General features: G+C 44.7%; 1 protein-coding gene and 1 long non-coding RNA gene across 30 annotated transcripts in view, besides 1 other annotated feature; one reads left to right on the forward strand and one right to left on the reverse strand.

Moving 5' to 3' along the window:
* The window catches only part of SLC24A1 (solute carrier family 24 member 1), a 49,653-nt gene that overhangs the window by 7,891 nt on the left and 23,653 nt on the right, over positions 1-18,109 (forward strand). For 28 of the 29 annotated variants that reach the window (XR_007064494.1, NM_001301033.2, NM_001411142.1 and 25 more), the window contains one exon: positions 4,715-6,730. Coding sequence is in view for 28 of the 29 variants with exons in the window: in NM_001301033.2 (NP_001287962.1) it covers positions 4,841-6,730 (1,890 nt within the window). In the remaining variant the exon portion in view is untranslated. Of the gene's footprint in view, positions 1-2,697; positions 2,853-4,714; positions 6,731-18,109 lie in introns of those variants that run through there. The other variant, NM_004727.3, reaches the window with a different exon arrangement.
* LOC102723464 (uncharacterized) lies at positions 1,554-4,719 on the reverse strand. Its single transcript, XR_932375.3, has 2 exons — positions 2,039-4,719; positions 1,554-1,921 (listed from the first exon to the last, which is right to left on the reverse strand). It is a non-coding gene; the product is annotated as an uncharacterized LOC102723464 (long non-coding RNA).
* Positions 12,400-12,529: a silencer, noted in NCBI's record as "silent region_6557". NCBI's record gives its function as "represses an Ori minimal core promoter by ATAC-STARR-seq in GM12878 lymphoblastoid cells {active_cell/tissue: GM12878}" and the evidence as "EXISTENCE:reporter gene assay evidence [ECO:0000049][PMID:35858748]".

Genomic DNA, 18,109 nt, shown 5'->3' on the forward strand with positions numbered 1-18,109 from the left:
ATGAGGAGCCTGAGAATGAGAGACCTTAGGCTTGCTCCTCATCAGACTTGTTACTTTATTAGAGGTTGCAAAGCAGTACCTGTAGGTTAAATTCAGCCCTCAGACTCATTTGTTTGCTTCCTAATATTTTTAAATTGTTTGACATTGGAATACTTATTGGTGGGTCATTTATTCTCTGTCCAGACATAGCCCCCAGCATGCTCCAGTTACTTAGAAAATGATTGATGTAACTTAATTTTATCTACCCGGGACCTAAAGGCATTAAAATTTGCAACCCATCAATGCTTGCTGTCTGCCAGATTAAAAAAAAAAAAAGAAATAAAATTTGCGACGCTTTCAAATCTTGTCTACTTTCTACTGTACAACTGTAGAGTCAGCTGCAACTCCTGATGTAGACCCAGAAATAAACCAGCCTTAGCCACAAACCCTCCACATCAGATGAAAAGTCTCGTTCCCTCTTCTTTCTGTTTTAATAAAAGTTAGGAAAGGCCTAGAGCTTTGGAGGGCAAGGAAAGGCCTCCTTGCCGTCCTGCCAAAGCTCTAAGATCTGCCTTCCTCACCCCCTTATCTTATCGTGAGGGTCAGAGCCAGATCTACCCCATCTGTTCTTCCATCCTGTTCCAGGGGAGGGTATAAAATGAGGCAATTTTGTAGAGCAAATTAGATCAGCTTCCTCTTCTCAGTGGTGCTGGCCATTCTCCATCCATTTGCTCTCAAAAGATCATGAGCTTTTTGAGTGGGCATTCTCCTCTCCATCCATGTGTAGCTCAGGGCCCCCATCTCTGAGCATCTTCCTCACTGGGTTATGCTTTTTATATTTAATATATATAAAATGTATTTAATAAATAACTTTATTTATAATATTAATAAATAAATAAACTCATTTATTTATTAAATACATTCATTGCTTGCCAAGCACTGTTCTGGGCTCTGGGGATTCAGTGGTGAATAAGACAGGCAAGTTCCCTGTCTTCTTGGAGTTCACCCGCTAGTAAGAGTTGCACACATTAATCAGGTGATTGCACAAATAAATACACGGTAGAGTGTTGTAACAATGAAATGCATGGAAACCTGCTGACCCCTCTAACACAATCTGATTGTGATACCTAAAAGCAGAAAAACAACAATAGTACCCGGCACTATTAATATGTTTTACAAATTAATTAATCCCCACAACAACCCTATCAAACAGGTAATGTCATTATCATCCTCATTTTACAGGATGAGAGGTTTATAACCACTGAGAAGTTAAATAACTTGTCCAAACTCACATGGCTAGTACAGAGGATGCTTCCATTCTTGGTTGAGCAGCCAAATTTCCTGCTGAATTTCAAAATGTGCCAGAATCCCATGATAATAAGACAGAAGAAACTGGGTTTACCCCCAGCGGGTAGGATTTAGGTTAGACACCAGGAAGAACTCCTTGGCAACATTTATGAACATATGAGAGAAAGGAATCACTTTTCTGAGGATTTCCTTCTCCCCTGAATTTTTTATATTGAATAAACAACATTGTAAAAATAGAGGAGTTATTTCAGAAAAAAGATCACTCATTTTACTTTGTGAATTATATTCCTTTTTTCATCTTTCTGGGCCAGATTGAGACTGTGTTACATAGTGGCATGAAAAGGGAAAGAACTAGATTTTGTTCTGCCCACAGCAGCATAAAGGCAAGGACATGTAACTAGCAGACCTCAGGTCCTGATCCCAGGCTTCCAACATCCAGAGTGACCCCAGCATACTCAGAGATGAAGCCAGCTCTTCCACAGTGGGTGGGCCCTTCTGTGGGCTTCAGCAGAGGGAGCTCGTGACCTTCTTACTGTTCCAGGCCACTCAAGGTGAAGCAGGGTAGAGGTGAGGCTGTGAGGATTAACTGCTATTTCAGATGAAAGTAACCCAAAGCATCATGCACCCAGGTACTCTGGAGGAAACAGGAAAGGGAGAAAGGGGCAGTCAGTAAATGTCAGGCCGAGTTAGCTGAATGATTGAAAGGGCTTCCAGATCAATGGTTAGGATCACAAGATCCCCACTACCTTACCCTACTCCCACTTTGATCAGCTCCAAGTCATGGGCTGGAGGCGCGGGGGGCTCAGGGCACCAACTCCTCAGGTATCTTGGGATGTCCCAGCCTGCTCTGGGGAGATCCATTAGTGCCCTCTACACCAAGGATTTCCTTTAGGCCTAATAAAATAGATTTCAGGTATGAATTGCTTTGAAGTTTGCTTGGTGTTTTCTCTATAATCTTTGTTTTTTATTTTGATTCTCACATTCACCTTACAAATAGGAAGGACAGGTATTATTATCCCCACATTTACTTTTAGATTACATTAGAATCACACAGTAGCAAGTCGAGCCTAATGCTAACTGAGGTCTTCTGATCTCTTAAGCCCCAGTCACTTTCCCTTCGTTTTCTCAGAGCGCCTTCTGAATCTTTTCAAAACTTTCCACCATCTAAGCATGGAAACCCTAGACCACCTCTCATTCTCATAGCTTAGAAACAAGTTTGAGAAATCTCCCCAGTTCCTCCATTGACTTTGTGGGCCCACAGTGAGCCCCTCTGTGTCCCTGGTGGAAGGCCCACTCTCTCAGGCTTGGTCAGGTGTACCGGGACCCAGAACTTGTACAATGCCCTGATAAGCTTCTTAGAGGAGGTGGGTATTAGCCACGATCGGATATTCTTCCCCTGAGCTGCCCTTCACACCCGACCCTGCCTTGAATTAGGATTCCATAGGAGAGCTGGGGGCAGGAGAATGGGGTGTTCCCTGCTGTCCAGCTTCAGACCCACTCTTTGAGATATTGGATTCTGACAAGTTTCCAGAGCTGAGAAGACAGCCAGATGTCAAGGTCTGAAGGTAAATGATGTAATTAGGTAGGAGGGATCAGCTGGGGTGCCAGTTCAGCTCTGTTACATAACACAGGAACATTAGAAAGAGAGAGACCCTCTGAAATTTCTGCTGGGGATACGAGTGGGCTTGCTGCAAAGTGTTGAGTTCATGGCAAGGATCGGGGGGCTGCAGGGAGATAGTGGAAAGAAAATTATAGAAATCAGGGACAAAGAAGGAAGTTCACTTATTCCTACTTTTCCTTTTGCTTGTCCCTCTCTTGCTTTTTAAGACAAGTACCTTTGCATCTCTGATTAGTGTGGCATGCAAGAAAGAAAGGGGAGTTAGGAGGCTCATCTGCTTGGCTACTCACTAGCTGTGTGATGTTAAGCAAGTCACATCTCCTCTCTGGACCTCTGTGTTTTCATATCTCAGATGAGGAGTTGTACCAGACAGATTCCATGGGTTACTCAGCTCACTTCTAATATATCATATGCAAAACTAATCATTTCCAGTTATTGTTTTGTAGTAGTTTGTGGACATTAATTAGAGATTTAATAAATAGTTACTTGGGCTGGGCCTCAATGCCCTTCTTTATAAAATGAGGATTCTTTGAGGGCCTTTCATGTTCTTCCCTCCTTCATTCTTGTATAAAACTAACCTTTCTGTTCAGTGCTTTTCTTTTTTTTTTTTCTTTGAGACAGAGTCTTGCTCTGTTGCTCAGGCTGGAGTGCAATGGTATGATCTCAACTCACTGCAACCTCTGCCTGCCAGGTTCAAGCAATTCTCCTGTCTCAGCCTCCTGTGTACCTGGGATTACAGGCATGCACCACCACGCCTGGCTAACTTTTGTATTTTTAGTAGAGATGGGGTTTCACCATGTTGGCCAGGCTGGTTTTGAACTCCTGACCTCAAGTGATCCGCCCACCTCAGCCTCCCAAAGTGCAGGGATTCCAAGCATGAGCCACCGTGCTCAGCCTGTTCAATGCTTTTCATATGTTTTTACTCGCTCAACATTCCTGTGACACTGTTATTATTCATATTCTAATTTAATTTAAATTAAAAATATTATAACATGCACATGATAAAAAGGTCAAACTAACAGAATATACAGTGAAAATAAGTCACCTTCTGACCTTTGATCCTCAGTTTCCCTTCCCCAGATGTCCTTCTAGAGATTATCTTTGCATAAACAATATATATGTTATCATGCCCATTTCACAGATGAGGCACCAAGGCTCAGCCTGTCCAGGATGACACAGCTGGTAAGCAGCAGAACAGGGAGTCTAGGCTTTCAACTCCATTCCCCATGATCCTCCCACCATGCCATATTCTCTGGGAAGCTCTATAACATTAACTTTTAAGCTTTGCCCACTCTGGATGGTGGAATTGTTTTAAGTCAGTTCAAAAAAATACATGGAGCCTTAATGTCCCTGGCAATGCCCTCCACTGCTGCCTCTTTTTGTCTATAGCTTAAAGCCATATCTCCCTACCTCCTTCCTGCCTTTGATAAGGTGAGACCTGTGGCCTGACACCAGCTATGGATGACTGAGCTCCCAGGATCTTAGGCTTGGACCTGAAGAGTACTGGCAGATCTTTTGCTGAGAGCCCAGGGAGGACTTGGTGGACTCCATAGTGCACTCAGGCTCCAGCTCAGGAACCTGGGGGGCTGGCATGCCTACATAGTACAGAGGACCCCTAGGCACTCTTTCTCTTAAGAGTAGGCATTTTCCTCTGGAGCAGGGGGCAGGAGTAGTTTACTCTTGCAAAGACCCCATGCATGATACTTTTGTGTTCCTGGGGCTTCTATTATCACTTTTTTCTATATGAGGGTGTTATGGATCCCAGATCTCCTCTTAGTGGTAAATAATCTCTTTTTTTTACCCACCTAGGGTTGTGGATACCCCCTGGCTGGGCTTCATGGAGAAATCTTCTCTGATCACCAACCTGAATCCCAGAGTAGCCTCCATCTTAGGACAGAATGAGAGGCCTTCTGTAACCAGATATAACTGGCCAGCATGGGGAAATTGATCAGGATGGGGCCGCAAGAGAGGTGGTTACTCCGGACAAAGCGGCTTCATTGGAGTCGCCTCCTCTTCTTACTGGGAATGTTGATCATCGGTTCTACTTATCAGCACCTTAGGAGACCCCGGGGCCTTTCCTCATTGTGGGCAGCAGTCTCTTCTCATCAGCCTATAAAACTGGCCAGTCGGGACCTCTCCAGTGAAGAGATGATGATGATGAGCAGCAGCCCTTCAAAACCTAGCTCCGAAATGGGGGGTAAGATGCTGGTACCCCAAGCCTCAGTGGGCAGTGATGAAGCAACACTGAGCATGACAGTGGAGAATATCCCCAGTATGCCTAAAAGAACAGCCAAGATGATCCCAACAACAACCAAGAATAATTACAGCCCAACAGCAGCAGGTACAGAAAGAAGGAAGGAAGACACCCCAACATCCAGTAGAACACTGACTTACTACACCTCAACTTCAAGCAGACAAATAGTAAAAAAGTATACCCCAACACCCAGGGGAGAAATGAAGAGCTACAGCCCAACTCAAGTGAGGGAAAAGGTGAAGTATACTCCTTCCCCACGTGGTAGAAGAGTAGGCACTTACGTGCCGTCCACATTCATGACAATGGAAACAAGCCATGCGATCACCCCCAGGACAACAGTGAAAGACAGTGACATTACAGCAACCTATAAAATACTCGAAACCAACTCTCTTAAGAGAATAATGGAGGAAACCACCCCAACCACTCTCAAGGGAATGTTTGATAGCACCCCAACTTTTCTGACACATGAGGTAGAAGCAAACGTCTTGACTTCTCCAAGGAGCGTCATGGAAAAAAACAACCTGTTTCCCCCCAGAAGAGTGGAAAGTAACAGCTCAGCCCATCCCTGGGGGTTAGTGGGAAAGAGCAACCCGAAGACTCCCCAGGGAACAGTCCTGTTGCATACCCCAGCCACCTCTGAGGGGCAGGTGACAATAAGCACCATGACAGGCAGCAGCCCAGCAGAAACCAAAGCCTTCACTGCTGCCTGGAGTCTTAGGAATCCTTCACCCAGGACCAGTGTATCAGCCATCAAAACAGCCCCAGCCATAGTCTGGAGGCTGGCAAAGAAACCTTCCACAGCACCCAGCACCTCAACAACCCCTACGGTCAGGGCAAAGCTGACCATGCAGGTCCATCACTGTGTGGTTGTGAAGCCAACCCCAGCCATGCTCACCACTCCCTCCCCAAGCCTCACAACAGCCCTGCTCCCAGAGGAGCTCAGTCCTAGTCCCTCAGTGCTGCCTCCCAGCTTGCCAGACCTCCACCCCAAGGGAGAGTACCCCCCAGATCTGTTCAGTGTGGAGGAGCGGCGGCAGGGCTGGGTGGTCCTGCACGTTTTTGGCATGATGTATGTGTTTGTGGCCTTGGCCATTGTTTGCGACGAGTACTTCGTTCCAGCCCTGGGTGTCATCACAGACAAGCTGCAGATCTCCGAGGATGTGGCAGGCGCCACATTCATGGCTGCTGGAGGCTCTGCTCCTGAGCTCTTCACCTCCCTCATCGGTGTCTTCATTTCCCACAGCAACGTGGGCATTGGTACCATTGTGGGCTCTGCTGTGTTCAACATTCTCTTTGTCATTGGCACTTGTTCCCTCTTCTCCCGAGAGATCCTCAACCTCACCTGGTGGCCCTTATTCCGTGATGTCTCCTTCTACATCCTTGACCTGATAATGCTCATCCTCTTCTTCCTGGACAGCCTCATTGCCTGGTGGGAGAGCCTGCTGCTGCTGCTGGCCTATGCCTTCTATGTGTTCACCATGAAGTGGAACAAGCATATCGAGGTCTGGGTGAAGGAGCAGCTCAGCAGGAGGCCAGTGGCCAAGGTCATGGCCTTAGAAGACCTCAGCAAGGTAAGGACAAATTGGCTCAGGTTTCTCTAGCCCCTTTGAGATGAAAGGATGTGGCGAAGCCAGGACCTGAAGAGAAGGTGCTGGATCAGACCTCAAGAGATGAATGCTCTGGTTCCCTTACTATTTATTCAACATTTATAGAGTACCTGTTCTCTGCCAGGCACTGTGCTGGGGCCTTTGTAAGCATGACATTGGCTCAACCCCTAATCACCCTATAAACTGGTTATATTATGATCCCCATTTGCAGGAGAGAAAACCGAAGCCCAAAGAAGTTAAACCACATGTTCAAGGTCACACAGCAAATAGGCAGTGGAGCCAAGATTTGAACTTGGGTTGGTGCGACCAGGTGTTTGGAAATGACATTTGAGTTGGGCTTTGGAGAATGTCCAAGAAGATGCCAGGCGAGGAAAAATGATCATCTCTTCCATGTGCATGGCGTTCAGGGTTTAGCTAGCACCCTCATTTTCATTTAATCCCATTAGTTCACATTCCAGACTTGGAGGGGCTGATGGCTTGGATGGCGTCTGAGAAGGGGGAGGGTTTTATATTTTTGTTTTGTTCTGAAAATATTAGAGAAGATGGGAGCTCTACTCACCCACTGACAAGCTAGCCCTGGGGACAGAGCCCTTCTCTCTGTGCCCGCTGGAGACCAGACACCAGGAGCACTAATCCTGGGCTTTCTCCTGACCCATAAGTTCCTTTCCAAGAACTTCTCTGCCCGCTTGAGGGACCTTCCTGTTAAATTCATTGGATGATTCAATAACCTGAAAGATTATTAATTGCAGAAGTGATCTCTGAAAATTCATTCCAAAATTTTTTGGGTTTTTTGGGTTGGGAGTAACTGGGACTACAGGCACATACCACCACACCCGGATCATTCCAAGTTTTTTGTTCCTTGAGACTCTAAAGTGAGGGTACCTTAGGGAACACGGACCCCACTTCTCTCCTGCTCCTAAAGGGTGAGTTTGGGTAAGGGTTGGCTCACAGCCTGCCTATTCCAGGTCTCAGAGAAGCCGCTGGTGTGAGCAGAATTTTGCATGCAGAGTGGAAGGACTTAGCTACTTAATCCAGAGCAGTTTTGATGAGTGAGCAGAATGGAGACCAAACTCAGCAACGTGTCTGTGAGATATTTGAGGCAAGGGAGATTAAATGCACTTCCTTTAGACTTTTTAGATAACATGTTGTTCTGGCCAAAGCACGGAATAGAGAGCCAGGAAACCTGAGTTCTAATCTGATTCTGCCTCTAATGAATTGTGTGACCATAGACAGGTCCTTTGCCCTCTCTAGGAGAAATGACAGAGTCCAACTAATCACTGAAAGGTCCTGTCTAACTCTAACATTCTATGATAATGTCTGTGTCCAAGTGAGTTCAGTTCTGTCAGGACCCAATGCAATGGTTATTTGTCTGATCTGGTCAACTGAGCTTCTATTGTGTCATTTGCAGATGATCCAAAAAAGGAAATATCCTGCCCAGGGTCATATAGCCAGCAGGTATCAGAACTGGAACAGGAACCCAGTCTCCTAACTCCCCATTCAGTGCTATTTCCCACCAGACTGTCCTCCATGAAGCCAAAGGCTTCAAAAAGAAAGAGAGGCTTAGAGCATTACAGAATTTAATACAAGGAAACAGGAACCTCCCTCCTAATGCAGGTCTTAGGGCAGGCCTTGCTAAGTTCTCAGGGGTGGCCATGAAGTCCTGGTATTCTCCTCTGAAGAAAATGCCTAATGCTTTGGTGTACAACAGGCCAGCAGTTTCCAAAGTGCCTCTGACTTGCTTCCTAGTCCCTCATAGTAATTCTGCTTTTATTTAGACTCTACAAACTCTGACCATCAAAGCAAAGCTTGCAGGACAAATGAAGCATAATCATCATTTCAAAAGAGAATACATAACCTACTGAAGGGACTCTTCAAGGGCTTTAGTAGCAACTCCTTGCCAACTAGTAAGCACAGTGATGATTACATCTCTGTTCTTATTTGTTGAAATAGATCCAGTATGAATTTTTTTAAAGAGACAGGGTCTTGTTCTGTTGCCCAGGCTGGAGTGCACTGGTGCACTCATAGCTCACTGCAGCCTAGAACTCCTGGGCTCAAGCAATCCCCACCTCAGCCTCCCTAGTAGCTGGGACTGTAGGCATGTGCTACCATGCCCAGCTAATTTTTAATATTTTGTAGAGATGGGGACCTCACCATGTTGCCCAGGCTGGTCTCAAACTCCTGGTCTTAAGTGATCCTCCCGCCTCAGCTTCCCAAACTGCTGAAGTTACAGTCATGAACCACCACACCTGGCCCCTTTAGCATTTTTTAAATGTCATCACCCCTTCAAGGATGCTTATTTCCCTTTAACCAGATCATAAGTCTGGTCACATCAGGCTTATCACTGCCACTAAATGGGGAAATAATTTTTGTGCCTCCTAAAGGGCCAAGCCCAGTGTCTTGTTCTTAGAAGAAGTTCCATAAGTATTTAGTTCAGTTTCCTCAGGTAATCCTAAAAGTTCCAGAACTCTAGTTTAGTGAGACAAAGGAGTCAGGGGTTGAGAATCCATGCTTACGGAGAGCCTATTCCATACATACATTGTCTTAACATTTCTCATAAAACCATACAAGGAATGGATTACCTTCATCTTGCAGGTGAGGAAACTGAAGCTCAGAGAGGATAATTACTCAGCCAAAGTTACACAGCTACTTGGTGATCCTTACCATTGATCATGAATCACGATATCTGGGTTTTAAGCCAGGTTCCATTGCTGACTATTCCTGTTTCCCTGGGCAAGTCAATGCAATACAACAAACCATTATTATTAAGTTAAATGAAAGCCACTGTGGGAAATAAAAAGATTGTATCCAGTAGAAGGGACAAGCCTAGAGAAAATTAACTGCAATGAAGTGAACCCTGTGCAAAGTGCTACAAAGCCACTTTGCTTTTCAAACAGGACTTAGGTTGCTCGTCTGTAAAGTGAATGGATGAGCTATGTAGAAGTTGGCAAACTTTTTCGGTAAAGGGCCAGACAGTAAATATTTTAGGATTTGCAAACCATATAGTCTCTGTCAAAGCTACTGAACTCTGTCCTTGTAGTGTGAAAGCAGCTACAGATAATAAATAAACTAATTGGAATGGCCACGTGGTATTTTAGTAAGAGCAACATACTTGCAGGTATTCTTCTTCCTGAGCAACTTGGAAACATACAATCAGCGGAGAACAATCCATTTTATTACTGGATATTCACCCACCTGATAGCTGTTGAGTTTCTGAGCTGGAGCATCTTTCACTTTACCGTTTATTCTGCCCTGAGTATCTAGAATCAGGATAATGGTGTTTTAGGAGTGATTCTAATCAGAATTTACTTAAGAATATTTCCAGAAAAAAATAAAGGACTTAGTATTTGACATAGACATATAGTAAGTATTTTAGAGTCTCACTTTTGATACTGGCTGAAAAAAATTCAAAGCTAAAAATATTTTGGACAACATCGTCAGATTGACATATATTGGTTTGAGGATGCCTTTTATGACCCCAGTAAGGAAATGGTAAATGTTTGCATAGTTATCAACACAGTCTAACTCTGAACACAGGCTGTCTCTCTGAAACTTAGTTTTCAAGTATACTTGGTTTTGAAGCTCTCAGTGTATTTGTTCTGGCCAAAAATGATAAATCTCTGACCTGCCTTGACCATGCATAGTCACAGAAAGCCAACAGACAGCAAAGCAGAGGCGCTAGGCTGGCTGAAAAGCATTATTGGTATTTGAAGGACAGCAGGGGCCCTTCTTTATACTTGACTAGATTAGCCAGGAAGCACCAGCCATCTACATGAGGTGTATGATTAGCAAGACAGTCCTGTGGAAAGCCAATGGCAAAAAGGGATGCAAAGCAGAGAAAAGAGCCTAGTTGGGGCTCCTTTGGAAGCTCCGTACCCACACTCTTCCCTCGAGAATACTCCTGGGGAAAAGTCTGCTATTCTCTCCTAAATGCACTGGGGGCTATTTTCATCCTGGAAGGACTTTTTTATTTATTTTTGAGATGAGGTATTGCCCTGTCACCCAGGCTGGAGTGCAGTGGCTCAAGCACGACTCACTACAGCCTTGACCTCCCAGACTCAGGCAGTCTCCCTCCTCAGCCTCCTGAGTAGTTGGGACTACATGTGCATGCCACCACACCCAGCTAATTTAAAAAACTTTTTGTAGAGAAGGTGGGGAGGGGGAGGATATGGAGGTGTGTCTCACTATGTTACTCAGGCTGGTCTCAAACTCCTGGCTTCAAGCAATCCTCTCACCTTGACCTCCCAAAGTGCTGGGATTACAGGTGTGAGCCACCACCACGCCTGGTCCCTGGCAGGATTTTAAAAATTAAACCAATCAACAAGACCTCAAGCAGACAAACCTGCTGCCTGTTTAGGGGCTGGTCCTCCCTTTTCTTATCAGGGTTGGCATTTATCCTAAGGGCTTCTATCAGTGACCTATAGAGCCAGCTACCTGCTTTGGAGGCAAGGGGCTGTGTGCAGGAAGCAGCCGCCGAGAACCCCCCCTGCCTCTGTGGGTCCTGCCTACACTAGACTCCAGGGAACTCACTGTGCTGCCAAAGGGCCCACTGTAGCCTGGGCTGAGGGGTTCCCTTCTTCGACTCTTTGAATAATAATCAGTTTCCCTCTAATTGTCAGGAAAAGATGGTAAGAGTTGAATGCTCAATTTTAGGGTTTCTCTTCATAAAATTTTCTTAATCTTTTGGCCAGGTGCGGTGGCTCACGCCTGTAATCCCAGCACTTTGGGAGGCCGAGGTGGGTGGATCACTTGAGGTCAGGAGTTCAAGATCAGCCTGGCCAACATGGTGAATCCTCATCTCTACTAAAAATACAAAAATTTGCCAGGCGTGGTGGCACGCATCTGTAATTGCAGTTTCTCGGGAGGCTGAGGCAGGAGAATTGCTGGAACCCAGCAGGCGGAGGTTGCAGTGAGCTGACATCATGCCACTGCACTCCGGCCTGGGCAACAGAGCAAGACTCTGTCTCAAAACAAAACTAAAACCTAACCACAATATTAAAAAAAAAAAGCTTTCAATGTTCACCTGCTAGTGGGTGCCAGCAGATGACAAAATGAATGCATGAGAAATAAACAAATATTAACAGAAAAACTCAAACATCTGATCACATCTAGTTTAACAGTTTGTTGTTTTCATGGATATGTGTAAGCTTGTAGTTGAGATTTTACATGCATTCATACAACCCAGTAATATTTTCTCCTAGTGCATATGATGGGATTCAATATGAAATTAGATATTCATGGTGTTCTACAAAGAACAGCATAATTTCTAGATGCTCTGCCACCTGAATTAATTGGAAATATGCAACCAACAGAATTTTTTTTAGTGTGGGGGAGTGGACATATGGATGAAAAACAAGTAAAATAAACTAAGATGTTAATTTCAGCATATGACAAGTACTATAAAGGAAATAAACAGGGCATGTGATAGAGAGTGATTGTAAATAATAGTGGGCCCCCTTTAGTGAGGGAGAGTGTAGGAGGTCTCTTGGAGGAGAATTTCAAGTAGAGATCTGCAGAATGAGAAGGGAAACCACCCCATAGCCAGTGACAAGAATTCCTGGAAGAGGGAACAGCATTTGCAAAAGCTCAGAGCTGGAAAAGAGAGCTTGGCACATTAGAGGAAAGAATAAAGGCCAGTGTGGTTAGTGAGTAATAGGGAGAGGGGTACAGAATACCACTGGAGAAGAGGGTGGGAGCTATTAGTTTGGTGCAAAAGTAATTGTGGTTTTTGTCATTAGTTTCGCTTTTAATGGCAAAAACCGCGATTACTTTTGTACCAGCCTAATACTCCATGCAGGGCCCTGTGCATCAGATACAGAGTTTGGATTTTATTTTATTTTTATTTTTGAGACAGAGTCTCGCTCTGTTGCTAGGCTGGAGTGCAGTGGCGCGATCTCAGCTCACTGCAACCTCCGCGTCCCAGGTTCAAGTGATTCTCCTGCCTCAGCCTCTCAAGTACCTGGGACTACAGGCACACGCCACCACACCCAGCTAATTTTTGTATTTTTAGTAGAGATGGGGTTTCACCATGTTGTCCAGGATGGTCTCGATCTCTTGACCTTGTGATCTGCCTGCCTCGGCCTCCCAAAGTTCTGGGATTACAGGTGTAAGCCATCGTGCCCAGCCTGGATTTTATTTCAAGCTCAACAAGGGAATGAAGTAATGAGAGTCCTCCCTAGCTGCTGAGTAGAGAATGAATTGTAGGTGTGCAAGAGTGGAAGCAGGGAGTCCAGTTAGGAGGCTGTTGTGGGCTGTTTATATGTATATGTATTTGTGAATGTTTTAAGACAGAATCATCTGGACTTGGTGTGAAGTGGATATGGAGGGTGAGAGAATCAGGAAAATCAAGGATGATGCTGATCTTTTTGGCTTGAGCAGCAGGGTGGATGGTAGTGGCATCCACTGAGAAAGAAGAATAAGTTTAGGGAGACACTTTGGAATAGTGAGTTTGGGTGCTTAGGTCACTTCCAAGTGGGTGTATCTGGGAGGCAGTGGCACAAATGAGTCTGAAGCCCAGGAACAAAGTCTGGGCTGGAAACAGAAAATTGTGAATCACCAACAAATGTATGGTAATTAAAATCAAGAACTGGCTGATGCTACTCTGAAAGACAGATAGTCTGGGAGTAATCCCTCAAGAACCCCAACATTCATTGAGCAAACATTCATTGAACATCTTTGTATGAGGCCTGTGGTAGGTCTGGCATATGGTGATAAATAAAGCACAGTTCCAGCTCTCAAGGAGCTTAGTCTAATGGAAGAGGTGGAGTTAATCTAGGTTTTGTGGGGCCTGATACTCACTAAGAAAAAGAATATAAAACTGTTGCCACAAAATTAGGTGCAAGCCTTGGAAGGGATTTGTGTAGGAGAGTGACAAGCCCTGAAGCTTAAGCTTCATCATCTCCATGGTAAATCCTTCTCAGTGGGAAAGACAGATAAGTAAAGCAGTAGTTTACACTATCACGTGTAATGGTATAGGTAAGTGCTGAGGGATTTAGTACTGCAGAGAGCCGACATCTCAACACACCAGAGGGTCAGGGAAGGCTTCCTAGGGGAGGGGATACTTAGCTGAATCTTGAAGGACAAGCAGGAATTCACTGACTATACAAGGGCTAGGGAGTCTCGTAGCCATGTGCAAAAACCAGAGAAATGAGAGGGCAATAAGAGACTGTAGCCACCAGCTGCATACAGCTGTTGAGCCCTGGAAAGGCGGCTAGTCTGATTCATGATGTGCTGAGTTTAATATATACACTGGGTTTCAAAGGCTTAGTCTGAAAAAATGGATGTAAAACACCCCAATATTTGTAATATTAATTACATGTTGAAATTATATTTCAGGCATATCAGGTTAGAGTGTATTATTAAAATTAATTTCACAGCAGGGCACAGTGCCTCATGCCTGTAATTCCAGCACTTTGGGAGGCTGAGGTGGGTGGATCATCTGAGGTCAGGAGTTTGAGAGAAGCCTGGTCAACATGGTGAAACCTCGTCTGTACTAAAAATACAAAAATTAGCCGGATGTGGTGGCAGGCACCTGTAATCCCAGCTACTCAGGAGGCTGAGGCAGGAGAATCGCTTAAACCCAGGAGGCAGAGGTTGTGGTGAGCCAAGATCTTGCCACTGCACTCCAGCCTGGGTGACAGAGTGAGACTCCATCTCAAAAAATAAAAAAATTAACTTCACTTGTTTCTTTCACTTTTAAAAAATGTGGCTACTAAAAAATTAAAATTACATATATGGCTTGCATTATATTTCTATTGGACAATACTGGACTGCAAGTAAGCAGGAGGCTGTGCTAAGTTAAGAAGTTTAGACTCTTACTGGGTGACAGTGGGGCCCCCAGTGTGTTGGGAGGGACATGATGTGCTTTGCTCAGAAACCCACTCTGGCTGAGGGGTGGCGAATGTGCTGGAAGAGAAACAGATCAGAAGTCAGGAGGCTGTGCAGGACTATAGGCAGGAGAGTGCAGAGACAAGGCGAAATGTGAGAACTCTCAGGAAAGAGGTCTGACAGCTAATTGGGTGTGGGCTGTGAGGGAGAGGGAGGAATTTGGGTAGACTTCTGGGTTTCCAGGATAGACAAATGGAGTGGATTGGGATGCAATACTGTATTCAGTGAAGGGCTAAAGTGAAGTGTGCTCTACCTGAGAGAAGCTGAGTGAAGGCAGGGCTCGGACAAGGGATTCAATAAATATTTGTTGAATGAACGTTAAAAAAAAAATTTAAGACTAACGTGTGGTTCAGGAAATGTGTTATGGATGGTTGAGAAGAGGAATTGCTGTATCAGTGGGAAATAGCAAATGGAGGTCAGGAGGACAAGCCCACTAGGGGCTACCATGGTTTGCCACCTGAAGTTCCTATAAACAGCTGCAAAGGATCCCATTGCTCATCCTCAGCAAGAGGCATGAAGACATCCTCTTCTGTTACCTCAGCCTCTTGCTAACTGTTGTAAGGAGAAGAAGGTGGGGGTAACTGGGCTGAAGAAAGAGCAGGGAGAATGTTGTGATGTGAGAGGTGAATGTGTTTGTGAAAAGGGCATGTTCAGAAAGCACCTACTTTCCAGTGCTGTTACTCATAAATGGACTCATCAGCCACACCCAAATGTTGACAAACATTCATGTCCATTTGCCTGAAATGTCGAAATATGAAATAGAGCCACTAGGGAATATAGATTTGACCTCATTTCCTTATTTATGCTTGGGAAAATAAATGGGATTTAGTAAAACCAAATCAAAAGCACCAAAAAAAAAAAAAAAAAAGAAAAAGAAAAAGAAAAACTGAATGAAGATAAGATCAGGGTGCTAAACAAAAAGAAAAAAAAGAAAAAAAGAGAAGAAGACAGGGTTCTGTCACCATCTTTGTGAGTGTGGGTAAGTGATGGAATCATTCTGCATCTCAGTTTTCTAATCTAGCAAAATAGCTACAATAATATGAGTGTTGTCTATTTCACAGAGTTGGTCGTATCAAATAAGAAAATGGATATGAAAGGCTTCAGAAAGTTAGAAGTGCATGCTGAAATTAGCCATGAACAATGAATCCTTAGAAAGGTATTTTGGCTTGAATAAATCTGAATGGCAGAGAAACCATTAGGGGTGTGCACCATGGGGCAAAGATCAGTCTCTCCTACCCCTCGGTGTACAGAACCATCCACCCTAGAGTGTAGACGGGACCCTCACAGTTCTTTGCCTCTAAAGAGAACTCTTGGCCAGGCGCAGTGGCTCACGCCTGGCCAAGCACTCTGGGAGGCCGAGGCGGGTGGATCACAAGGTCAGGAGATCAAGATCATCCCGGCCAATATGGTGAAACCCAGTCTCTACTAAAAACACAAAAATTAGCTGGGCCTGGTGGTGCACACCTGTAGTCCCAGCTACTCGGGAGGCTGAGGCAGGAGAATCGCTTGAACCCGGGAGGCACTCCAGCCTGGCAACAGAGTGAGACTCCGTCTCCAAAAAAAAAAAAAAAAAAAAAAAAGAAAAAAAAAGAAAGAACTCTTTGGGTGAGGGTTGGATGTGAGAAATAGTGAGATGGCTGGGCCAATGGGTTCAGTGCTGTAGCCTCTTAAATCCCAGTAAACTTATAGGTGTGTCACAAAAGAGTTGGGGGGATTTCTTAAAATGCACAGTGCCCCCTTCATATGCAGATTGGTTATTTATACTCTGTTTCATTCATTTTTATGTTCATTCATTCATTTAGCAATGTGTATCCAAGCATTCAAACCTCTCCCAATCCTTCAAAGCTTACTCAAATTCTACCTATTTCAGAAAGCTTCCTTGCCCATCACAGCATAGCACCTATCTGTGCCTTTTATTTCAGGAACCACATTCTTCTTTGTCATGCATCTGTATTATCATTGGCCTCAATTTCTTTCTGGACACAGAATCCATGTCCTAAGCATCTTTGTATCCCTAAAGCCACCAGAATAGCACCATGTAAATAGTATAGCAGGTTCTCAGTAAATAAGAACTGCATGAATGAATAAGTTGGAGGGATGGCTGAGTGGCCCTAGATCAAGCACTATTTTCTATATTTTCTGAGCTGAACAAAGAAGGGAGTGTAGCAAGTTCAATTCTGGTTTAGCCATGGAGGTTGGTGGGGTGAGGGAAGCAATGAGAAGGTAAAGACGATTGCTGAGGGCAGCTATTTGTGATCCTGCTGCTTAAAGATAACACTAAAGGCTGGATGTGCTGGCTCACACCTGTGATCCCATCACTTTGTGGAGGTGAAGCAGGAGGACTGCTTGACCCCAGTAGTTCGAGACCAGGTTGGACAACATAAACAGACCCAGTATCTACAAAAAACAAAAAAACGTAGCCAGTCACTCACACCTGTAATACCAGCATTTTGGAAGGCAGAGGTGGGTGAGTCACTTGGGCACAGTTTGAGACCAGCTTGGGCAACATGGTGAAATCCCATCTCTACAAAAAATACAAAAACTAGCCGGGTGTCGTAGTACGCACCTGTAGTCCCAGCTACTTGGGAGGCTGAGGTGGGAAGATGGCTTGAGCCCAGGAGGTCGAGGCCACAATGAGCCATGATTGTGCTACTCCACTCCAGCCTGGGCAACAGAGCAAAACTCTGTCTAAAAAAATAATAAGGCTGAGCGCAGTGGCTCATGCCTGTAATCCCAGCAGTTTGGGAGGCTGAGGTGGGTGGATCAACTGAGGTCAGGAGTTCGAGACCAGCCTGGCCAACATGGTGAAACCCCATCTCTACTAAAAATACAAAATTTAGCCGGATATGGTGGCAAACACCTGTAATCCCAGCTACTTGGGAGGCTGAGGCAGGAGAATCGCTTGAACCCAGGAGGGGGAGGTTGCAGTGAGGCGATATTGCACCACTGCACTCCAGCGCTCTGTCTCAAAATAATAATAATAATAATAATAATAATAATAATAGTAATCCCAAAAGCACTGAAGGTCACTCACTTGGGAGTGTCTACTCATTCAGCTCACCTTTACTGAGCACCTCCTGTTCTCAGTAAGACACTGCCACAAGGAAGGGAAACAGATAACTGTAAGTTCATTGCGTGGCAAAAAAAGAAAAAAAAAGGTAGAGTCTACATGTAGCTGGTAGACAATTCATGCAGTGAAAAGTTAAACAGTGCTTTTTTTAAAAAAAAAGTTCAAATGATATTACAAGACTGTGAGTGTAAAGTGGCAAGCTAGTGGTTCAGACAGTAAATACACAGGCTTAATGCTTCTTCATCTTGGATTGTCTAGGGCTGTCCCACTTCCCAGCTGGCTGCCCCATAGCTTTCCCAAAACACTAGCACTTACCTGAGCACACAGCTGATTTTAGTATCACAGAATGTGTTCACTGTTATACAGCTTTCCAGGAGAGAGGTATTGTA

Source organism: Homo sapiens, chromosome 15 (assembly GCF_000001405.40).
Source record: "Homo sapiens chromosome 15, GRCh38.p14 Primary Assembly".
Lineage (NCBI taxonomy): Eukaryota > Metazoa > Chordata > Mammalia > Primates > Hominidae > Homo > Homo sapiens.